The sequence below is a fragment of the Homo sapiens genome, chromosome X (assembly GCF_000001405.40).
Source record: "Homo sapiens chromosome X, GRCh38.p14 Primary Assembly".
NCBI classification, from domain to species: domain Eukaryota; kingdom Metazoa; phylum Chordata; class Mammalia; order Primates; family Hominidae; genus Homo; species Homo sapiens.
The window spans coordinates 153,726,676-153,745,496 of record NC_000023.11 but is presented as its reverse complement, the minus strand read 5'-3'; the positions used below and the strand labels follow the sequence as shown (position 1 = coordinate 153,745,496).

At 57.4% G+C, this 18,821-nt stretch overlaps 1 protein-coding gene and 1 long non-coding RNA gene across 7 annotated transcripts in view, besides 7 other annotated features; one reads left to right on the top strand and one right to left on the bottom strand.

Moving 5' to 3' along the window:
- The window catches only part of PLXNB3-AS1 (PLXNB3 antisense RNA 1), a 31,620-nt gene extending 20,975 nt beyond the window's left edge, over positions 1-10,645 (top strand). For all 4 annotated transcript variants that reach the window (NR_199693.1, NR_199694.1, NR_199695.1 and 1 more), the window contains one exon: positions 6,919-10,645. This is a non-coding gene — a long non-coding RNA (PLXNB3 antisense RNA 1). The remainder of the gene's footprint in view (positions 1-6,918) is intronic.
- The window catches only part of ABCD1 (ATP binding cassette subfamily D member 1), a 19,900-nt gene continuing 1,820 nt past the window's right edge, over positions 742-18,821 (bottom strand). Inside the window, exons 2-11 of one of the 3 annotated variants that reach the window (NM_001440747.1) lie at positions 16,085-16,265; positions 9,243-9,385; positions 8,984-9,152; positions 8,586-8,885; positions 8,246-8,340; positions 5,260-5,405; positions 4,778-4,923; positions 2,426-2,510; positions 2,151-2,276; positions 742-2,008 (exon numbers count right to left, since the gene is read on the bottom strand). In NM_001440747.1, coding sequence (NP_001427676.1) covers positions 1,762-2,008; positions 2,151-2,276; positions 2,426-2,510; positions 4,778-4,923; positions 5,260-5,405; positions 8,246-8,340; positions 8,586-8,885; positions 8,984-9,152; positions 9,243-9,385; positions 16,085-16,265 — 1,638 coding nt within the window. In that variant the 3' untranslated portion in view covers positions 742-1,761. Of the gene's footprint in view, positions 2,009-2,150; positions 2,277-2,425; positions 2,511-4,777; positions 4,924-5,259; positions 5,406-8,245; positions 8,341-8,585; positions 8,886-8,983; positions 9,153-9,242; positions 9,386-16,084; positions 16,266-18,821 lie in introns of those variants that run through there. The other 2 variants (NM_000033.4, XM_047441917.1) reach the window with 2 other exon arrangements.
- Positions 1,365-2,064: an enhancer, noted in NCBI's record as "H3K27ac-H3K4me1 hESC enhancer chrX:153008887-153009586 (GRCh37/hg19 assembly coordinates)". NCBI's record gives its function as "activates a minimal SCP1, AML or CMV promoter by ChIP-STARR-seq in primed H9 embryonic stem cells {active_cell/tissue: H9 hESC(primed)}" and the evidence as "EXISTENCE:reporter gene assay evidence [ECO:0000049][PMID:30033119]".
- Positions 2,065-2,766: an enhancer, noted in NCBI's record as "H3K27ac-H3K4me1 hESC enhancer chrX:153008185-153008886 (GRCh37/hg19 assembly coordinates)". NCBI's record gives its function as "activates a minimal SCP1, AML or CMV promoter by ChIP-STARR-seq in primed H9 embryonic stem cells {active_cell/tissue: H9 hESC(primed)}" and the evidence as "EXISTENCE:reporter gene assay evidence [ECO:0000049][PMID:30033119]".
- Positions 4,516-5,016: an enhancer, noted in NCBI's record as "H3K4me1 hESC enhancer chrX:153005935-153006435 (GRCh37/hg19 assembly coordinates)". NCBI's record gives its function as "activates a minimal SCP1, AML or CMV promoter by ChIP-STARR-seq in primed H9 embryonic stem cells {active_cell/tissue: H9 hESC(primed)}" and the evidence as "EXISTENCE:reporter gene assay evidence [ECO:0000049][PMID:30033119]".
- Positions 11,493-12,185: an enhancer, noted in NCBI's record as "H3K4me1 hESC enhancer chrX:152998767-152999458 (GRCh37/hg19 assembly coordinates)". NCBI's record gives its function as "activates a minimal SCP1, AML or CMV promoter by ChIP-STARR-seq in naive H9 embryonic stem cells {active_cell/tissue: H9 hESC(naive)}" and the evidence as "EXISTENCE:reporter gene assay evidence [ECO:0000049][PMID:30033119]".
- Positions 18,014-18,183: an enhancer, noted in NCBI's record as "active region_30039". NCBI's record gives its function as "activates an Ori minimal core promoter by ATAC-STARR-seq in GM12878 lymphoblastoid cells {active_cell/tissue: GM12878}" and the evidence as "EXISTENCE:reporter gene assay evidence [ECO:0000049][PMID:35858748]".
- Positions 18,204-18,363: an enhancer, noted in NCBI's record as "active region_30038". NCBI's record gives its function as "activates an Ori minimal core promoter by ATAC-STARR-seq in GM12878 lymphoblastoid cells {active_cell/tissue: GM12878}" and the evidence as "EXISTENCE:reporter gene assay evidence [ECO:0000049][PMID:35858748]".
- Positions 18,634-18,821: part of an enhancer, noted in NCBI's record as "active region_30037", that runs on past the window's edge. NCBI's record gives its function as "activates an Ori minimal core promoter by ATAC-STARR-seq in GM12878 lymphoblastoid cells {active_cell/tissue: GM12878}" and the evidence as "EXISTENCE:reporter gene assay evidence [ECO:0000049][PMID:35858748]".

The window sequence follows — 18,821 nt, the reverse complement described above, 5'->3', positions numbered from 1 at the left end:
AGGCTGTTTGTCCATTTGTCTGTTGATGAACACTCAGGCTGCCCCACCTTTGGGAGGCTGTGGCCATCCATGCATAAAGGTATGGCCGCACAGCTGTTCTCAGTTCTCGTGCCTCTGAGGCCAGATGGGCTGCCGCACCCTATTCCCACCAGCCACCCTCACATGCAGCCACGTGGCCTGCAGTACTCGACACTGCTTCCCTGTTGCTGAAAGCTCCTCGGTGGCCTCTGGGCTAAGTCCTGTCTCTGTAGTGTGGCCTCCAAGGCCCGCCGGCCGCAGCCCTCCCTTCCCCTGCCCTCCCTTCCCCTGCATGCAGCACGAACACCCTGCGCTGTGCTCCCAGTTCCCCCCAGGCCCCTGCACAAGTGGCCGCCTCTCCCTAGAAGGGCCAGCAGCACCCTGTGTGGCAGCTTAGACATCCCTTCTCTTGCCTTCGTGCTCCTCCCACAGGGACCAGCATGATCCCCTCCCCTAGTCCTATTTGGGCTCAGCCAGTATTTCTGTGCAATGTTGTTGCAGGTTCCGCCCCGCCACCGTCACAGGAATCCTAAGAGCATTGGCGTGAGGCTCGGCGGAGGGCATGCTGGACCATGTCTTCTGGTGACTTTCCCCCTCGGAGGGGCTTGGGGGTCAGGCCCACTCCTTTCCCAAACTCACTCTTTCCCCCACAGGCAACCCACTCCCTCTCCTCCATCTCTCCTCGAGACCCACAGCAGACACCACCAGGCTCTGAGGCAGGGAGGAAGGACTGCATTTGCCAGTGGAGGCTTTTACTGGGGGGACTGGGGGTGGTGCCCGGCCCGAGGGCTGAGGGCCCGGGAAAGGCACACGGTGGCGGTGGGGTCTCTCTCGGGCAGGCGCTGGCTCCGCAGACAGCTCCCCCTGGTGACCCCTCTTTGGCACTGAGCTGGGAACATGGTGTCCGCACTCCTGGCTGGCAAGCAGAGGCCCGTGTGCCCCGGTGGCGGCTGGCAGTGTAGGCTGGCGGGGTGACGGCCGCAGGGGCTGGGTTTGGCACCGGTGGGAGCCGGGGCCCCACGGGACTCAGAGGCTGGGCCGCCCCCGCTGCTGGCACGGTAGTCACATTGGCCACGGAGATGGCTACGAATAGGGAATCCAATAAATTAGGCTGTAGAAAGAGGTGGTGAGGGGCCGAGGGGGCGGGGCCTGCATTCTCGCTTGGCAGGCAGTGCTGTGCGTCCCTCTCCCCTCTCCCGTGGGATCTTTGGGGCTCTTGTGGGGGAGAGGATGCAGGTGAGGCGCTCTGTGTGACTGTGGGTCCCACTGGGCGGCTTTTATGGCATCCCACGGAACGGGAGCCTTGGCTGACCACCCTCAGGGGATGGACCATGGGGTCTTTGAGAGACTGACGAGGAGGGAATCATGGGGACTCGAGTCTCTGGAGGGAGGCCACCTGCAGTGCCAGGGGCTGTGGCCTGACGGGCTCCTGGGGCTCGGCTGCGCTGCTGTGTGGCCAGCACTGGGCCCCTTGTACCCCAGCTTCCTCCACGGAGCAAAGTAGAGGACTCACTGCCCTGGACAGGGCCCAGTCACTGTGGAACAGCGCCCCCAGGGAGTGGGAGGGACAGGGCGAGGGTTACGCAGGGCGCCACCCTCCACATCTACTTTCCCGAGGGCGGGAAGGGTTTTCTAGGAGGAGGGGCCAGGCATGCAGGGGCGGGGTGCGTGCATGGGTGGGTGCTGCTGTCTCCTTCATGTGATCCGAGCTTGGGGGCGGGGCAGGGGCCGGGGACGGTTGTGTCAGGTGGAGGCACCCTGGAGGCCACCAGGGCCTTGCGGGCTAGGTGCCGGCACATGCGCTGGGGCCACGGCCTCGCCCAGGATCTGGCAGAGCTCCTGGAGGCGCCGCTGCATCTTGGGAATGCCCGCCAGCTGCTGCTCCAGCCGCTGCTTCTCCTCCGTCAGGCTCAGGCGGGCAGCTGAGTCCAGCTTCTCGAACTTCCAGCCGCCCTCCCCATCGAACTGTAGCAAGTGTGTGTGGTATTTCCTGGCCAGGAGAGGGACAGGGTCAGGGGCACGGCACGGGGGCTGCTGATGACAGCCGCCTGCTGCTGCCGGGCCCGCCAGGCCACCTCCTCCCCTCAGGCAGCCACTCCCACCGACCCCAGGCAGGGAGACAGGGCACCTACCACAGGGAGGGCCGGTGGGTGATGGAGAGCAGGGCAATGCCCGCGTCCTTGGCCGCCTGGAAGATCTTGCCTTCCACGTCGATGCTCACGGCGCTGGTGCATTCATCCAGGAGGGCGTACTTGGGCCTGGGGGTCCGGGCCGAGAGGAGAGTCTGTGCACCCTCCAGGGCCCAACACCCCAGCCCGGCTCAGGCTCCACTGAGCCCAGGCCTCCCCACAGCTGCTACTTCCCCTTCCAGGGGACCCCAGGGAGCCTGCCGGCCCGGAGTGCTCACCTGTGGTAGAACATGCGGGCCATGCCGATTCTCTGCTTCTCGCCACCCGACAGGACGTCCTTCCAGTCACACATAGCCTCCCAACCTAGGCGGGGGCAATGGTCTTGGCTCAGTTCCACCAGCACCCAGACCCGGGGGCCAGCCGGGGAGCTGGGGGAGCTGCGGGAATGAGCTAGCTGTGACGACAGGGCCCCTGTGCCTCTGCGTCCTTGTCTGTCTGACAGGCATTAATCATGGAGGAGTGGGGACTGGAATCGTGCCTTCCCCCAGAAGAGATACGGTGGAGTCCAAGCCCCAACACTTCAGTGTGACCTTATTTGGAGACAGGGCCTTCGCAGAGGTGATCACACTAAGATGAGGTCATCAGAGTGGACCCTAATTCAATATGACTGTGTCCTCATAAAAAGGGGGTGTGTGGGCAGAAGACATGCACAGGGGAACATGAGGTGAAGATATACAGGGAGAAGTGGACCATCTGCGAGCCGAGGACAGAGGCCTGGAACACATCCTTCTGTCATGGCACCCGGAAGGAGCCCACCCTGCTGGCACCTGGATCTCGGACTGCTGGATCTAGGAGACAATCCATCCCTGCGGTTTATGGCAGCCCCAGGGCACCCATACAGTTCCTTGGCACAGAGCTCCAGAGCGGCCTGAGTGCTCTCCCCAGACCGGGGGCTTGTCACCCACAGGGGTTGGGCCTCCTGTCACTGCCCCGTGTCAGCACTTTGGCAAGGCTCGAGTGGGCTGCTTGAACGAGCAGGTGAGCCGGCTGCTCCATTAGGTCGGGGCGCTGCGGCAGAAGCGGCCCTTCCTGTCTTCTCGCCCATGCTGCCTTCCCCAGCGGCCCAGGGCTAGAAGTGGCAACAGGGCATATGGCCACCCAGAGTAGAGATTACGCTTCCCAGGTGGCCTTGTGATGAGGTGTGAGCATGAGACTAAGTTGTGGCCAATGAGATATAACTGTAAGTATTCAATATGGCGGCTTCTGGAACCTTCCTTAAAAGAAGGCACATACCTTTTGCCCCTTCCCTTCTACTTCCTCCATCCTACAGCCTGGGACATGATGTGAGGGCTGCAGCAGCCCTCCTGGATCATGAGGTGACTTTGGGAACGGAGGCCAAACACAGCAGAGTGACCTGGTAGAAAATCCTCGAGCCCTGGGGCCTTCACAGAGCAGGGCCAGCCCTGGCAACCGTGGCCTGGCTCTCTTGGGACCTAACAGCTCAGTAGGATAAACTCACAGATGATCTTAGCCACTATTGCGGGGAGGCCCGTTCTGTTCCTCGCAGCTCAACTCCATCCTAATGGCTCATGCTGGCCGGCCACAGGCCCTGGGCATTCAGGCTGCCACAGAGGCGGGAGGGGCCACGTGCTCCCAGGCTGAGGGCAGCAGGAGCAAGAGGCAGGGCCGGGCCAGGGGCTGCTCCACTGCCATTGCCACCTGTGTCCCCGCTTCCTCCACAGGCAGGTGACAACACCCCGGCCATTTCCTGCAGGAGCCACTTCTTCTCATGTTGCCACCGAGGGAGGGCTTGGTGCCCGTGCCCTTGAACCGTGAAGGGGAGCCCCAGCAAGGCGAGGTCCTTGCCCAGGGCCATCTCGCACCCAGCAGTGCAGGCTGGAAGCAGAACCCAGAGGCTCAGAATTCAAAGACAGAACTGAACACTCCATCTACTGTGTCCCTGTAGCTGCAGCCCCCTCTCCTCCTCCGCTCTTCCGGCCCGACAGACACTGTGGACAAGCAGTATTCCTTGATAAGCCCAGGACAAGACAACAGCTCAGTCTGGCCTCCTTTTCAGTGAACTCATCTCTGAATCCACCTGACTCTGCTGGCCCCAGCCCCCTCCAAGCGTCTGCACAAACCTCTTGACAGTAGCCATCACTGCACACATGTGCCTGCCCCTCCCAGGCTGCCCCTGCCCACCACCCCATGGTCCTTCCAAGAGCGTCTGATCCTGCTCAGGGAAAGCCTAGGCTCCCGCCTGGTCCCGAGGGCCCTCTGTGAGCCAGCCTCTCGCACCACCAAGCCTTCGGAACGCACTCCGCCCTGCTGCCCCTGGCTTCCGGACGGGGTAACCACTCAGCATTCTGCAGGGCTCAGCTCAGACCTCTTTTCTCTGGGAGAGGGTATCCTGGGTCCCCCAGTGAGGTGCACATCCCTGCTAGGTGCCCCCTTCCCTAGAGCACCTGGGGCCATCTGTGTGGTGTTGGTCCTCCCTGGTAGCAGCCTCTGCCCCGCCCCGTGGCACCTGGCACTTTAGACTCTGGATGTTGAGGTAATCTTCACTCCCTGGAGGCCAAGGGAGAGGCCAGGGTGGGACAAAGGGTGGCTGCCAGCCCCAGGCCTCCTACCTCCCTCCCGCTGCAGGATGTGGTGCAGGTGCACGACGTCCAGGATGGCTTCCAGGTCCTGCTCCGAGTAGCCCTTCCTTTGCATGTCCTCCACTGAGTCCGGGTAGATCACCTGGTCACGCAGGGAGCCCACAGACATGTAGGGCCTGTGGGAAAGCTGGGTGTCCACGGAGGGAAGGGCCGGCTCTGCCTCCCCCAAGATACTCTGCGCCTCCCAGGCAGTGTCCACATGCCACGCTCACACGCATCCACACGCTCACATCGCCGCCCGTGCACACACCCCACACAGATCCAAAACAGGGCAGTGGATCGGGCGGGTTTGGAGGGAGCAGGAACCACAGCCCGTCTCTGGCTCTGGGGACAGTGCCTCAGTGTCCTCTCCTGAGGTGCTGACTCTTCACCACTTCCTGGGCCTCTGCAGGAAGCCATGTGTGAGCGCACAGGCAGGAAGAGGTGGAGGAGAGGCGCACGGGCTTCCTTACCTCTGCGGGATGTAGAACATGCGCTGGGGTGGGGGCTTGTAGAGCACACCACCGTACGTGGGCCAGAGCCCACCCAGGATCCGGAACAGGGAGCTCTTGCCGCAGCCATTGGGGCCTGTGATGAGCAGATGCATGCCTTCCTCCACCTGCAGGGGCAACAGCCGCTGACGCCAGAGAGCGCAGGCCCCTTCCCGTACCCTATGGCCTCCTGACCAGCCTTGAGAGGCTCCCAATGCCCGAGGCCAGCACGCAGGCCATTCTTGATCTCTTGATAAGGGACAGCAGGGCCTGGGGGATGGGGTCCAGCGTCCACAGCCCTAGCTAAATTTGGCTCTCGCTAAATGCCTGGCCCAGGACACAGGAATGGACAAGCCCCGGCCCAGTCCTCAGGCCCTGACACGCCTGGAGAACATGGTGCCAGCACAAGAGGAAGGGCCTATTCTGCCACAGCTGAATGAGTAGGTGTGTTCCAACACAGCCAGCGCCGTCCTCAGTCCCATCCGACTCCCACTTCACCAGGAATCCAAGTGCAGGGTCAACTGTCAGCCCCCTTTAAGGAACTGCCCTGAAAGGCACTTTGTTTTCAAGAGACGAGACCTCACTCTGTTGCCCAGGCTGGAGTGCAGCGGTATGATCACAGCTCACCGCAGTCTCCAACTCCTGGGCTCAAGTGATCCTCCCACCTCAGCCTCCTGAGTAGCTGGGCCTACAGATGCACGCCACCATGCCTGGCTAATTTTTAAATGTTGTTTTAGAGACAGGGTCTTGCTATGTTACTCAGGCTGGTCTCAAACTCTTGGCCTCAAGCGACTCTCTCACCTTGGCCTCCTGAGTCACTGGGGACAAAAGGCAGTTTCTTTCTTTTCTTTTTGAGACGGGGCCTTGCTCTGTTGCCCAGGCTGGAGTGCAGTGGTGGGATCATGGCTCACTGCAGGCTCAACCTCCTGGGCTCAAGAGACCCTCTCACTTTAGCCTTTTTTTTCAAGTGGCTAGAACTACAGGCACCGCCACCACACTTGGCTTATTTGTGTATTTTTAAAAATTTCTGTAGAGACGGGGTTTGCCATGTTGCCCAGGCTGGTCTTGAACTCCTGGGCTTAAGCGATCTGCCCACCTCGGCCTCCCAAAGTGCTGGGATGACAGGCATGAGCGACCACGCCCGGCCCAAAAAGCACTTTCTTTATGTCTCTAGACTGACAGTACAGACCCCACTGCCTCCCCAGGTGCCAGAGTGGCCCAGAGATGCCACAGTGGCCCCTGGGCTCTGCATCATGGACCTCAGGCTCCTCAATTCACTGACTCCATGGTCCTCGCTGGAGCTAGGAAATGCCTACTTTGGGAAAATGCCGGCCAGGCTGGAGGCGGGCTGTGTGCAGGGAGGAGGCCAGGGGCCTGGAGTCAGTGAAGTTCACGGTAACAACAACAATGCTACACGGGGCTCCTGGGAAGACTTGAGGCCGTGGTCTTTAGCTTACCTCAGGCAGTGTCATGGGTGGAACTCTGTCCTCTGAAATTCCTATGTGGGAACCCTAATCCCCACTACCTCGGAGTGTGAGCTTATTTGGAAACAGGGTCATTGCGGACGTGATGAGTTAGGTCTGCATGAGGTCATTCTGCAGAGGGGTGGGCCCTAATGCAGTGTGACCTGTGTCCTGACAGAAAGGGGAGACGGAGACACGGACACACCCAGAGGGAGAGCGCCGTGTGGAGACAGAGGCTGAGGCCGACCTGCCGTGGCAGAAGCCAGGGAAGCCCGCAGATGGGCAGCAGAGCAGAAGCTGGGACAGAGGCCCCGAGCGGAGGCACCTTCTCGGTCCTTGGCAGAAGCCCGCCCTGCCTGCGCCTTCCTCTCGGACTGCTATTCCCCGAGCCGGGAGAGAGGCCATCTCTGCTGGGAAAGCCACTCAAAGTTTGTAACGCTTTGTGACCGCAGCCACAGGATGCTAATGAAGCCACCTGACTGTCCCCTCCTGAAGGGTGGGGCCTGGGCCTTGCCCCATCTCGCATACCCGGCTCCCTGAGCATATGTGGCCCTGCGCGCAGGGGCCCCATGAGCTTGCCCGCTGCCCCTGCCTGCTTGTGCTGCCCGGGGCCAGCCTGGAAACCACCTTCCTTGGACTCACTGGTGATCAGCTCCCCCGACATCCTAGGAGGGGCCGCTGCGAGCGGTGAGGGGTAACCACCTGTGCCGGCCCCCTCCTCCCTGGCATGCCCCTCCTCTCTGCTTCCTCCTGCGTGACCTGCCCCTCAGGCCCACGGCCCCTCACTCCTCTACCCTCAGCTGCCTGCCCACTCGCTCACAGCAACTCCTGGGCAAGGCTTCATCCCACCCCCACCACCCCCAGGGACTCTGACCACTCTTCTTGTGACCCCCACTGTCCCTTGAACAGCTGTCTACCTGGAGACCCTTTGTAACACTTTAGTGCCCCTCCACAGTGAAGACTCCCTGAGTGCAGGTCTCCTGATTTACCTCGGGTTTCTGGTGCCCGGCTCAGAGTTCAGGGCACATTGGTTAAATGAGTGAATGAATGAGTGATTCCTTGTCACTTCTCTACCTGTCCCTCCACCCCAGTCTCCCCCTCACTCCATTACTCCCCAGCCCTGTCCAAACCCCTGGCTGGGGACACAGGTGATCTGTGGATTCCTTGCTGTGGCCTTCCGAGGGAGGTCGAGCGGCAAGGTTTGAACCAGAGCCCCCCCACCCGGGTCTTGGCTTTCTTAGGAGTGTGGGGAGTTGGCATCAGATGATAGGGCCAGGAACGCCGGGGTGAACCTTGGTCAATCCTGGTATCACTAGTCTCTTTTATGAGCCCTGCCTCTGTTGCCCCAGGATGAACAGTCAGAGACACGTTGGTCTCTCACCTTGACCTTGGCCCACCTGCCACGTACATCTAGGGACAATGGCTGTTGCCAGCACAGACAGGCGGGAAGCCAAGGGCTGAGGCTTGCATATGTGCGTGGCTGGCGCCCTCCCCGCTGGACCTACCCTGATGTTGAGGCTGGCCACCACCACCTCTCCTGAGGGCGTGACGATGGGGATGTTCTCGCAGATGATCCCCTGTTCCACATCCACCACCTGGCCTGCAGAGACAGCACAGCGGGGCTGGGGTGGAGAGGGAGTGGTGGCGACCCCTCTGCATTCTGGGGAGTCTGCGTGCCCCTGGCTGCACGCCCTCATTCCCATCCCTGGCAGCATGCCAGCTGGTTCCTGACCAGCAGCCTGTGGTCCAGGGTCCCTAGGGAACACAGCCAGGTCTTCCAACAAGCTGAACTCTTCCCCCAGTGTCTAATACAGTGCCCTGGGCCGCCACTCCCTTCTGCAGCACCTGCCTCCCGTGGCAGCCAGCAGCTGGCACACTGACTGGAACTTTCTCTTGCTGTCCTGCATGGGTGAGGGGACCACATCCCCCTTGTTTTGAATGAATAATCCAGGCTGAGGCCCTCAAAGGGCGAGTCAGTACGGTGGCCGGCAGCTACTGTCTGGGAAGGAAGGCGGGCGGACCAGCACCTCTCTGCAGGAAACCCTCCAGGGGCCCAGCTCGACCAGGCCGAAGTCCTCAAAGACCCTGCCCGGCAGCCCTCCCGTCCTGGGTGGACTGGGATGGGCCAGAAGCACATGGAGGTCCCTGAGTGAGGGAGCGGGAATAGGAGGAGCTGGGGCAGCAGGTCAGCACCTGCAGCAGCAGCAGGGGCGGGGTCACTCATAGGGAGGGGACAGCCTTACCTCGGATCTTCAGGGGGCCCTCCACACGGACACCAGACCGGCCTATGGTCCCAGACCCCGCCTGAGCGTCCTCTAGCTCCCTGGGCCTCTTGAAGTGACAGCGCTGAACATCTTCAAATACCTGGAACATCTCGTGCACCCGGGCTGTGTAGCCAGCCAGCTCCGTCACCTGAGGGAGGGTGACCCTGGCTCAGCCCCTGCCAGTTGCAGGGAGAGAAGCATGGCAAGGATGGCAAGGGTGGGGCTGGGCCAGGGGTACCTCCTTGTACGACGACATGATCCGCTCAATGGCATCTGCAGCCGCTGTCAGGAGGTTGCGGGCAATAGTGAAGGCTTCTGTGCGCTCGCTCACCAGCTCCTCCTCCTTCTTTTCCAAGGCTGCCTTCTTCACGGCCTCTGCATCTGCAAAGCCCCAGAGGGGTGGGTGGCGGGGCGGGGAGGGGCAGGGCAGAGACAGCGGAAAGTCAAAAATGAGCCGCTGGAGAGAAAGGCGAGGCTCTTCTGCAAATGGTGCCGGGGCAACCAGCTCTCTCTCTCTTTCTCTCTATGTGCAGGAGAGGGACCCCTCACACCATACAGACAAACCAACCCAGAGCACATCACAGGCTGATGTGTAGTGTGGCCCAAAGTATGAAACTCTCAGAAGAAAATGGGATAAAACTTCACGACCTTGGATATGGCAATAGTTCCTTCACTAGGACACCAAAAGCATGAGCAACAAGAGAAAAACAGATCAACTGAACCTCATTCAACTCAACACTTTTGTGCACCAAAGGACAATATCGAGACAGTGAAAAAGACAACCTACAGACTGGGAGAAAACTCTGGACTGGTGAACCACACATCTGATGAGGGTGCAGTATCCAGAATATACAAAGAGCTTTTACAACTCAGCGACAGAGATAACCCGATCACACATGGGCGAAGGACGTGAACAGACATTTCTCCAAAGAAGACATACAAATGGCCACTCAACACATCAAAAGAGGCTCAGCGTCATTAGTCATCAGGGAAATGCAAATCAAAACCACCAAGAGATACTGCCTCACACCCACTAGGTGGCTAGAATACAAAGGAGATGATAACCAGTGCTAGCCACGATGAAAAGGTGGAACCCTCCAACACTGCTGGCGGGAAGGTAAAATGGGGCAGCCACTGTGGAGAACAGTCTCGCAGCTCCTCAAAAAGTGAAACGTCCAGTTACCATGTGACCTGGCAATTCTACTCCTAGCTACACACCCAGGAGAAACGAAAATATCTGCACACATAGAGACTTGTCCATGGATGTTCACAGCAGTGTTATTCACAATAGCCAAAACATGAAGAAACCCAAAATGTCCATCAAGGGATGAATGGATAAAGAAATTGTGGTCTATGCACACAATGGAATATTATTCAGCCATGAAAAGGAATGAAGGACTGATTCATCTTATGACATGGACGAATCTTGAAACCATGATGCTCAGTGAAGGAAGCTAGTCACAAAATGCCACAGAGCACATGATTCCATTTCTAGGACATGTCCAGATAGGCAAATCCACAGAGACAGGAAGCAGATGAGTGGGTGCCAGGGGCTGGAGAGAGGGAATGAGGAGTGACTGTTCATGGGTCTGGGGTTTCTTTGGGGGATAAAATAAAAATAAAACATTCTGGAGTTAGTGATGATGGCTGCACAACTCTGTGAATGAATTTAAACTGTACATGGAAAAGGAAGAATTGTATAGTATGTTAATTACGTCTCAATAACGTTGATTTTTAAATGCACCAGTAGGCATCTGGTTTTGTTTCTACGTACAGCCAGCTCCTTCCACCGGCCCTCTGTCCTGCACCACTGATGTCGCCCCTCCTGGGGCACATCTGAACTTTGTCATCCAACGCCCAGAGCTGTTTGGCTTTGAAACGCCAACTTTCTTTTTTTTTTCTTTTCTTTTTTTTGAGATGGAGTCTTGCTCTGTTGCCCAGGCTGGAGTGCAGTGGTGTGATCTTGGCTCACTGCAACCTCTGCCTCCCCAGGTTCAAGGGATTCTTGTGCCTCAGCCTCCCGAGTAGCTGGGATTACAGGCACCCGCCACCAAGCCCAGCGAATTTTTTTTGTATTTTTAGTAGAGACGAAGTCTCACCATGTTGGCCAGGCTGGTCTCAAACTCCTGAACTCAGGTGATCCACTTGCCTTGGCCTCCAAAGATGCTGGGATTGCAGGCATGGGCCACCACGCCCGGCCTAATGTCCCACTTCCTGACCGCCCCCTCTAGGCCATGGTTTTTGACCTCTGGGCCAGCAGCCGTATTGTTTGGTGTCTGCTTCTCCCAGGAGCTGCTCCTGTCTTAATTTGCTTTTCTGTCACACTCTAGGCCCCGTGGCAGCACCCCTGACCCTCATCAATGGCCTTGACTCTCAGTTTCTTGATCCTTAGATTCCCCACAGGAGCAGAGGTGGGGAGCAAGGGCGAAGGCCGCCTCTGAGGGTGCTGGGGTGTGGCTGAAGTGGTGGGAATGTCCTGTGAAGGACCCGAGGACTGTATCCAGGGGTGGGTGTGATCCTGAGGGGGAAGCCTCAGGGATCATTGGCTGGGGGCTGGGGGAAGACACGGAACGCAGTATCCGCTCAGGGCCATGCAGGGTGGAAAGGGGCCTGGCCCGGGAAACCAGGGAACTAGATTGGGCTGGCGGGGCGGGGATGTGAATCCTAAAGGTCGAAGGCCTTGGACCTTCCTTCCCACGGTGCTCTCAAGGACACAGCCCTCCTCCCCAGGTGTTCTGAGAGCTGGACAGTCGCTGTGGACAAAGGGAAGGGTCTGCAAGTCTTTGTGCCCAGGGCATCCTGGCGTAGAACCAGCTGCCTTCTGCAGGTTCTCTTGGAGCCTTGGGTGAATAAGGCCAGGGCCCCAGAGCTGGACAGAGCAAGGCCTCAGGGCTGGAGTGGGAGCCACAGGCCCTGCCCATCTCCTGAGCCCACCTGCCTTGCACACCAGCCCAGCAAAGCTTATCTAAATCTTCCAACCGGTAAGAGCCTGCCTTCCCACCCAGTGCGCTCCACCTCCTTGAAGCACCTGGAGCCCTCACTAGCCACCCGATGCAGGGGACACAGCAGGGACAAAACAGACAAAAATCCCTGACCCCATGGAGCTTGCAGTCCATGGCAGGGAGAGAGAAAAGCGCCACTGACGGGGTGTCGAGTGCTTGGGAGAGCAGTGGGGCAGGGAAGGAGACAGGAAAGGTGGCGGTGGGCAGGCCGGGCCTTGCCTAGGGGGGCTGCGCCATGGGGCAGCAGAGGAAAGAGTGCTCCTGGCACAGGCCCCAAGACAGAGCAGGCCTGGCATTTGGGGAAATAAGAAGGCCACAGGACCAGGCACAGTGGCTCACACCTATAATCCCAGCACTTTGGGAGGCCGAGGCAGGTGGATCACTTGAGGTCAGGAGTTCAAGACCAGCCTGACCAACATGGCGAAACCCCATCTCTACTAAAAACACAAAAATTAGCCAGGCATGGTGGCGTGTACCTGTAGTCCCAGCTACTTGGGAGGCTGAGGCAGGAGAATCACTTGAACCCGGGAGATGGAGGTTGCAGTGAGCCAAGATCGTGCCACTGCACTCCAGCCTGGGAGACAGAGTGAGACTCCATCTCAAAAGCTCCCCCTCCAAAAAAAAACAGACGGCCACAGGACAGAGCCTATCAAGCCAGGGGAAAGGGAATGCTTCACAGCCTTCAAAGGCTGCTGGCTCTGAGGACCACCAGAGCAGGGCCAGGAGCCCACAAAGCCTGGCACAGCAGAGGCTCAGAAAAGTCCTAAGCCTTCAGGGCAGGGAGCAGCCCGATGTGACCAATGGCAGCCATGGAGCGAAGCGGCTGCAGGTGCTGTCTCGCGGGCTGTCTCGGTGCCCGGGGCTAGGTGCGCTGACTGGGCTGGGCACCTACGCCAGCATCAAGGCTGCCCTTGATGTGCAGTCCCCGAATTAGATCCTTCCTCTTGGTGAGTCACCCAGAGGATGACACAGACAGTTGAGGGCATGGAAGCCCCGAGGTGGAAACAGGAACAGGGAGAGAATCAGACTTCTGTTTATAAATCGAAAACCCTCTTCCCACCAAACTGGGTAAACTACGACACTATTTCGAGCAGAGCCAAGCTTGACGGAAAGCAAGGGAAACTTCTGGGAGCAAAGAGAAGCAGACAGCCAGGTGATCCTTTGATAGCCCCAGAGGCAGGCAGGGCAAAGACCAGGAAGCTTTCCTTGCTTAGCCTGGGCTCTATGCCCAATGAACAAAAAGCCTCCTCTGAAAATTTGTAACAATGTGCCTGGAGTTCAAATGAATTCAAATGAAACCACCTCTCAATTCAGGAACCATCCCCTCCGCACTAACTAATGGCCTCCAACTGCTTACCCTGGAGTGCTTGGCCAAAACAGAAGGACATTTGGACTTACACCCTCCATTGAGGCCACACCAATCCCCATAGAAGTTCTGTTGCAAAACCCACAAGGAAATGATCCACCATGAGTGAAGACCAGCAGACAGAAGACAGGCGAATGATACTCCCAAGAACTGAAGCTAACCAAACCATCAGATAGAGACGGTGGGGTAAGTATGACTAACCTGATACACAGTATAAAAGGAGCAGTCAAAAAGATGAGCAAATAAGACACAGAAACAGCCTGACATTTCTACTTGAAAAAGGAAATGTCCATTTTCAAATTCCTATTTGAAATAGAATGAAATAGAACTTACAAAACAGCCACTGAAATGTGAACAAAATTCCAATTAGACATGGCCAAAGAGAAAACTGGTGAACTGGAAAATGAGCAAACAGGAAGGCCTCAGGGCATCCCCAGAATTCAGCACAGACAGTGTGAGATGGGAAACAGTAAACAGAAACCGAAAGACACAACGAAGAGAGTCAGAAGTCCAGCACTGGCTGCCAGTTCTAGAAGAACAGGAAAAAAGAATGAGAGTCAGGCAATATCTGAAAAGCTAATAGCTGAGAATCTTCCAGAATGATTGAAAAACTCAAATATTCAAAGGACATATAACAAGTCTCAAGCAGAATCAACAAAAACTGACACCTAAACATGTCATAGTGAAACTGCAGAATGCCAAAAAGAAAGAAAGTGATCAAAGTACCCAGAAAAAAAGAAACACAGGGTACTCAGGGAGGACAATTTGTTAGCAGCTACAGATTTGTCAGCAGCTACAGAAGAAGCAGGGAGACAATGAGACATTGTGAAAGGGCTGAGAGAAAAGAACAGTCCACCTAGACTCCATTGCGCAACTCAACTTTAGCTTGGGAATAAGGGTGAAATAGAAACATTTTCAACAAAAATAATCAAGAATGACAACAGCCTGGGTGTGGTGGCTCACGTCTGTAATCCCAGCACTTTGAGAGGCTAATGCGGGAGGACCGCTTGAGCCCAGGAGTTCCACACTAGCCTGGGCAACACAGCGAGAACCTGCCTCTACAAAAAACAAACAAACAAACAAAAAACTAAACAACACAAAGAATTACAATAAAATAATCAAGAATTTCCCATGACAAAACCCTTGCTGAAAGAACCTTTTTTAAAAACCAACCACAACTAGAAGCACTGATGACTGTTTGTCCTGAGCATAGTTGTGAGTTAAAAAACAAACAAACAAAAAACTAAAAACATGTCTATCTGGAGGAAGATAACAGAACATAGAAGAGAAATTGAGATGTAGGAACGAAATGGTGAGCACAGAACTCAGCAAACATGCGAGTGAGTTTCAACACGTGTGGATAAGGCGATAGCAAAGAGGAAAAACTAGGTACAAATCCAACTCTTGGCTGGGCTATGATGCCATGCCCCACGGGGCTGCTTCTGCGTTCTAAGGTCCAGGAGAAGGCGGAGCTATTGATTAACCTAACAAGTATGCGTGTTGATCTTTTATTTTTTATTTTTATTTTTATTTGAGACGAAGTCTCGTTCTTTCGCCCAGGCTGGAGTGCAGTGGCGCTATCTGGGCTCACTGCCAGCTCCGCCTCCCGGGTTCACGCCATTCTTCTGCCTCAGCGTCCCGAGTAGCTGGGACTATAGGCGCCCGCCACCGCGCCCGGCTAAATTTTTGTATTTTTAGTAGAGATGGGGTTTCACCCTGTTAGCCAGGATGGTCTCGACCTCCTGACCTCGTGATCTGCCCGCCTCACCCTCCCAAAGTGCTGGGATGCCAGGCGGGAGCCCCCGCGCCCGGCTGCGTGTTGACCTTTTAAAGGGTGACCACTAATGGACTAAAAATCAAATGCAGAAGTTGCAATCCGGCAGAGGAACAAAACAGGAATGCAGGCCGGGCGCGGCAGCTCACACCTGTAATCCCAGCACTTTGGGAGGCTGAGGCGGGAGGATCACCTGACCAGGAGTTCGAGACCAGTCTGGGCAACATGGCGAAACCCTGTCTCTACCAAAAATATTAAAATTAGCCAGGTACGGCGGCTTGTGCCTGTAGTCCCAGCGACTGGGGAGACTGAAGTGGGAGGACCACTTGAGCCTGGGAAGTTGAGGCTGCAGTGAGCCAAGGTCGCGCCACTGCACTCCAGCCTGGGCGACAGTCAGACTCCTGTTTCAAAAGCCAAAAAGAAAATAAAACAAACAAACAAAAACAACAGGAATGCAGAAACCTAAACATTTAATCTTATCACTAAAATAACAGGTAGAACAGGCTTCCCACTCCTCTAAAACACCTTAGGGTGCAAGAGCTGTTTCAGGGCGAGGAAACCAAGGCTGGAGTGATGAAGGGGCTCACTCCAGGTACTCCGCACATTCTCCCACCTCTAAGTCGCAGTTGGGTTGAGGACAGGGACAGGTGGGTGAGGGTATCTGTGCCTGGAGAAGTGACATGTAGTGTTCCTGACTTGCAGTCCTGGGCTTGTCTGAGTGGTAACAAAGGGCGTGAGGTGCGCGCAGGGCAAAAGGCAACAAGGAGGGGCAAGGCGAGCTCAACCTCTGAAAGCATCAAGGCTGGCAGCAGGGCCTCGGTGGCCCCGGCAGCAGAAGTGGGCGGCGGGCTGGCTGAGTTGGGCCCTCGTGAGCTCAGCACCCAGCGGTATGGGGGACAGGCCCCTGGCCTGGATCCTCTTGGAGCCCTGGGTCTCACCTGACTCTGAGTAGCCAGTGGCAGTGATGATGGGGACAGCCACCATGAGCAGGCCCGAGGCGCTCCACACATACTTCATGAGGAACTGCTCCAGCATAACATACCACAGGCGTTCCAGAAGGATGAGGTTGATCTGCGAGGCCAGGTCCTGGTAGGAGCGCTGTAGCAGGGCCAGCTCCACCTGCGGGGGGTGACAGACACAGAGAGGCTTCCTGGCCATGCACAGGGGCAGCTCCCGTGGGGGCGATGGTCAGGGTCTCCCAGTGCCACTCACACACGCTGTGCCATGGTGGCCATCAGAAGGCCGAGAGCCAGAGGTTACGATTGGGTGGGGCCAGGTCTCAAACTCAAGGTGTAAGGGGGTATAAGGGACTGGCTGATGTCACAGTGCGGCTCCCGTCCCCTCTCCACTCCCTCTCTAGTCACCTTGTTTCTGTCCTCTGCTGAGCCCATTTCTTTGGGCTCCCTGCCAGCCCCCTCCTCCTGGCTCGGAGAGATCATCCATCAGCTCTAATTTCCCCCCCTAAACTAAGCAAAGAGCAGCGCAGGACAGCAAAAGGCAGTGCTCTTGGGCTGAGTGCAGTAGCTCACACCTGCAATCCCAGCACTTTGAGAGGCTGAGGTGGGAGGATTGCCTGAGCCCAGGAGTTGGAGACCAGCCTGGCCAACACGGCGAGATGCTGTCTCTACCAAAAATAATTAAAAAAAAAAATTAGCCAGGTGTGGTGGCACACACCTGTAGTCCCAGCTACTCGGGAGGCTGAGGTGGGAGGATCGCGGGAGCCCTGGAGTTTGAAGCTGCAGTGATGGCGCCACTGCACCCCAGCCTGGGCAGCACAGTGAAACCCTGTCTCTTGGTTCTGAAAAACTCGGTTCAACAGTCTGGGCCTATTTACGCCCTCTTTCCCCTCAACTTTCCCACACTTCCTTTTGGTGAGAAATTTGCATGGCATTTTCCCACTGAAACCAGGAGGATGCGCTCCTGAGCTGGGCCCTACAGGACTCGCCCCAGTGGATGTCCCCACTGCTGAGCCTGGACCTTGCTCCCTCAGCAGTGGGTAGGCCTCCCCTGTCCTTCTGTCCCCCTTCCTGCACTGGCCACCACTATGTCAGGACACCAGCAGGTGGGGAAAGGGACAGCCGCAGGGAAGAGGTGGCAGCAGCAGTCAGACAGGCGGGGGAGATGGGAGGTGTTGGGAAGTGCTCCCAGCAAGGTAGCCAAGGGGTTGTGAATTTCTGGGCTCAGTCCAGGGGCACGCACCCCAGCCTTGCCTCCCCACAGCCGTCTGATGACAGCTGCCTAGCCTGCCACTGTTTGCCAAGTGCTTTCACGTCTCTGCATTTGATTCTCCCCACATCCCACTGCATGTGTATTCACGTGCCCACTGTACACAGAACACTGAAGCCCAGGGAGGCAAAGTGACCTGCCCAAGCCCATACAGCCTGATGGTGGCAACCAGTGTGGGAATTTGGACCACACTGGCAGAGCTGCCAGAAGAACCACATTCTTGTAAATGATGCTTAGACTTATCAAGAGAGCTTTACTTTGTTCTCAAACAAGAGATCGTGTGCATGTGCGTTTCAATAAGCCTCCTCGCGGCAATCCCAGAAAGGACAGAATACTCTGCTATGTGCCCTCCAGCCAGTCAGCTGCTTCTGCCCTGATCTGAGCCTAGGCCAGTGTCCACGGGGACATCAGCCAGTGGGACTGCCATGGGCCACATGCTACCCGAGGGTCCTCTCACCCCACACAGCTTTCCAGCCGAGGCCTATGCAGACAGGCCGTGAATGCACACCGGGCCCTCCTGCCCTGGCCAACAAACCCTCTTGGCCAACGTGCTACTTCCTGAAGCTAGCCCTTCAAAGAACCAGTAATCTCTCTACTTCCTGAAGCTAGCCCGGACGAAGGCCTTCAAAGAACCAGTGATCTCTCTTCTGCCCCCGCCACCCAGGTCGGCCTGCACAGCTGAGCTCCCTGCAAGCCCGATCTCCCATTCCTGAAGCAAGCACCCTGGCAATCCAGACTCGTGCTGGGAGCTGGCAGGGGTGCCAGCCAAGGCTGACAATGTAGCTGCGGGGAATGTGCCAAGCGCCTCGCCCAAGGCTGCAGCTGCTTGCCAAGGCCCTGCAGCCCAGCATGCGGGAGAAGAGGAGAGGGAAGCCAGGGTGGTGGCTGAAGTCCAGGGGCCTTTTCTCTGAATCTGCAGTCTGGCCCACACCCGGGATGCCCCTCTCCGTGGAATTCGGGGACAAGCCTGCTTCTCTGCTGGTGCACAGCCAGTGAGACAAGGTCCCAGGGCAAGAGGCCACCTGACCCAGGGAGCACACACAGGCCTTCGGGGGATGGATGCCATTGTGCCCCTCCTCCCAAGAAGCACTGGGGAACCGAAACTGAGTCGCAGAGAGCAGGGCCCAAGGCAGCTGCAACCCCAGGCACGAGGAAGGGGAGGGGCTGAGGCGAGATAAAGGGAGCATTGACCTGGAGTAACCTTTCCCAGCGCCTGTCTGGCCCGCCGGCCCCGGCCCACCAGGGAGCCAGGAGACAGACAGGGTTGGAAGGACAGCCACGCCAGGAGCAGGAAGTGTGTCCCGCCGCAGTGGCGGCCTGGGCCCGGCATCTCTGGTCTGGGGGCCCGGGAAGGCAGCTGAGCCAGTTGGTAGCCAGGCAGGCCTGTGGGCTCAGGCGGGGGTGGCCTTGACCCCAAGTCCCACTGCTGTGCTGGGCGCTGCTCATTAA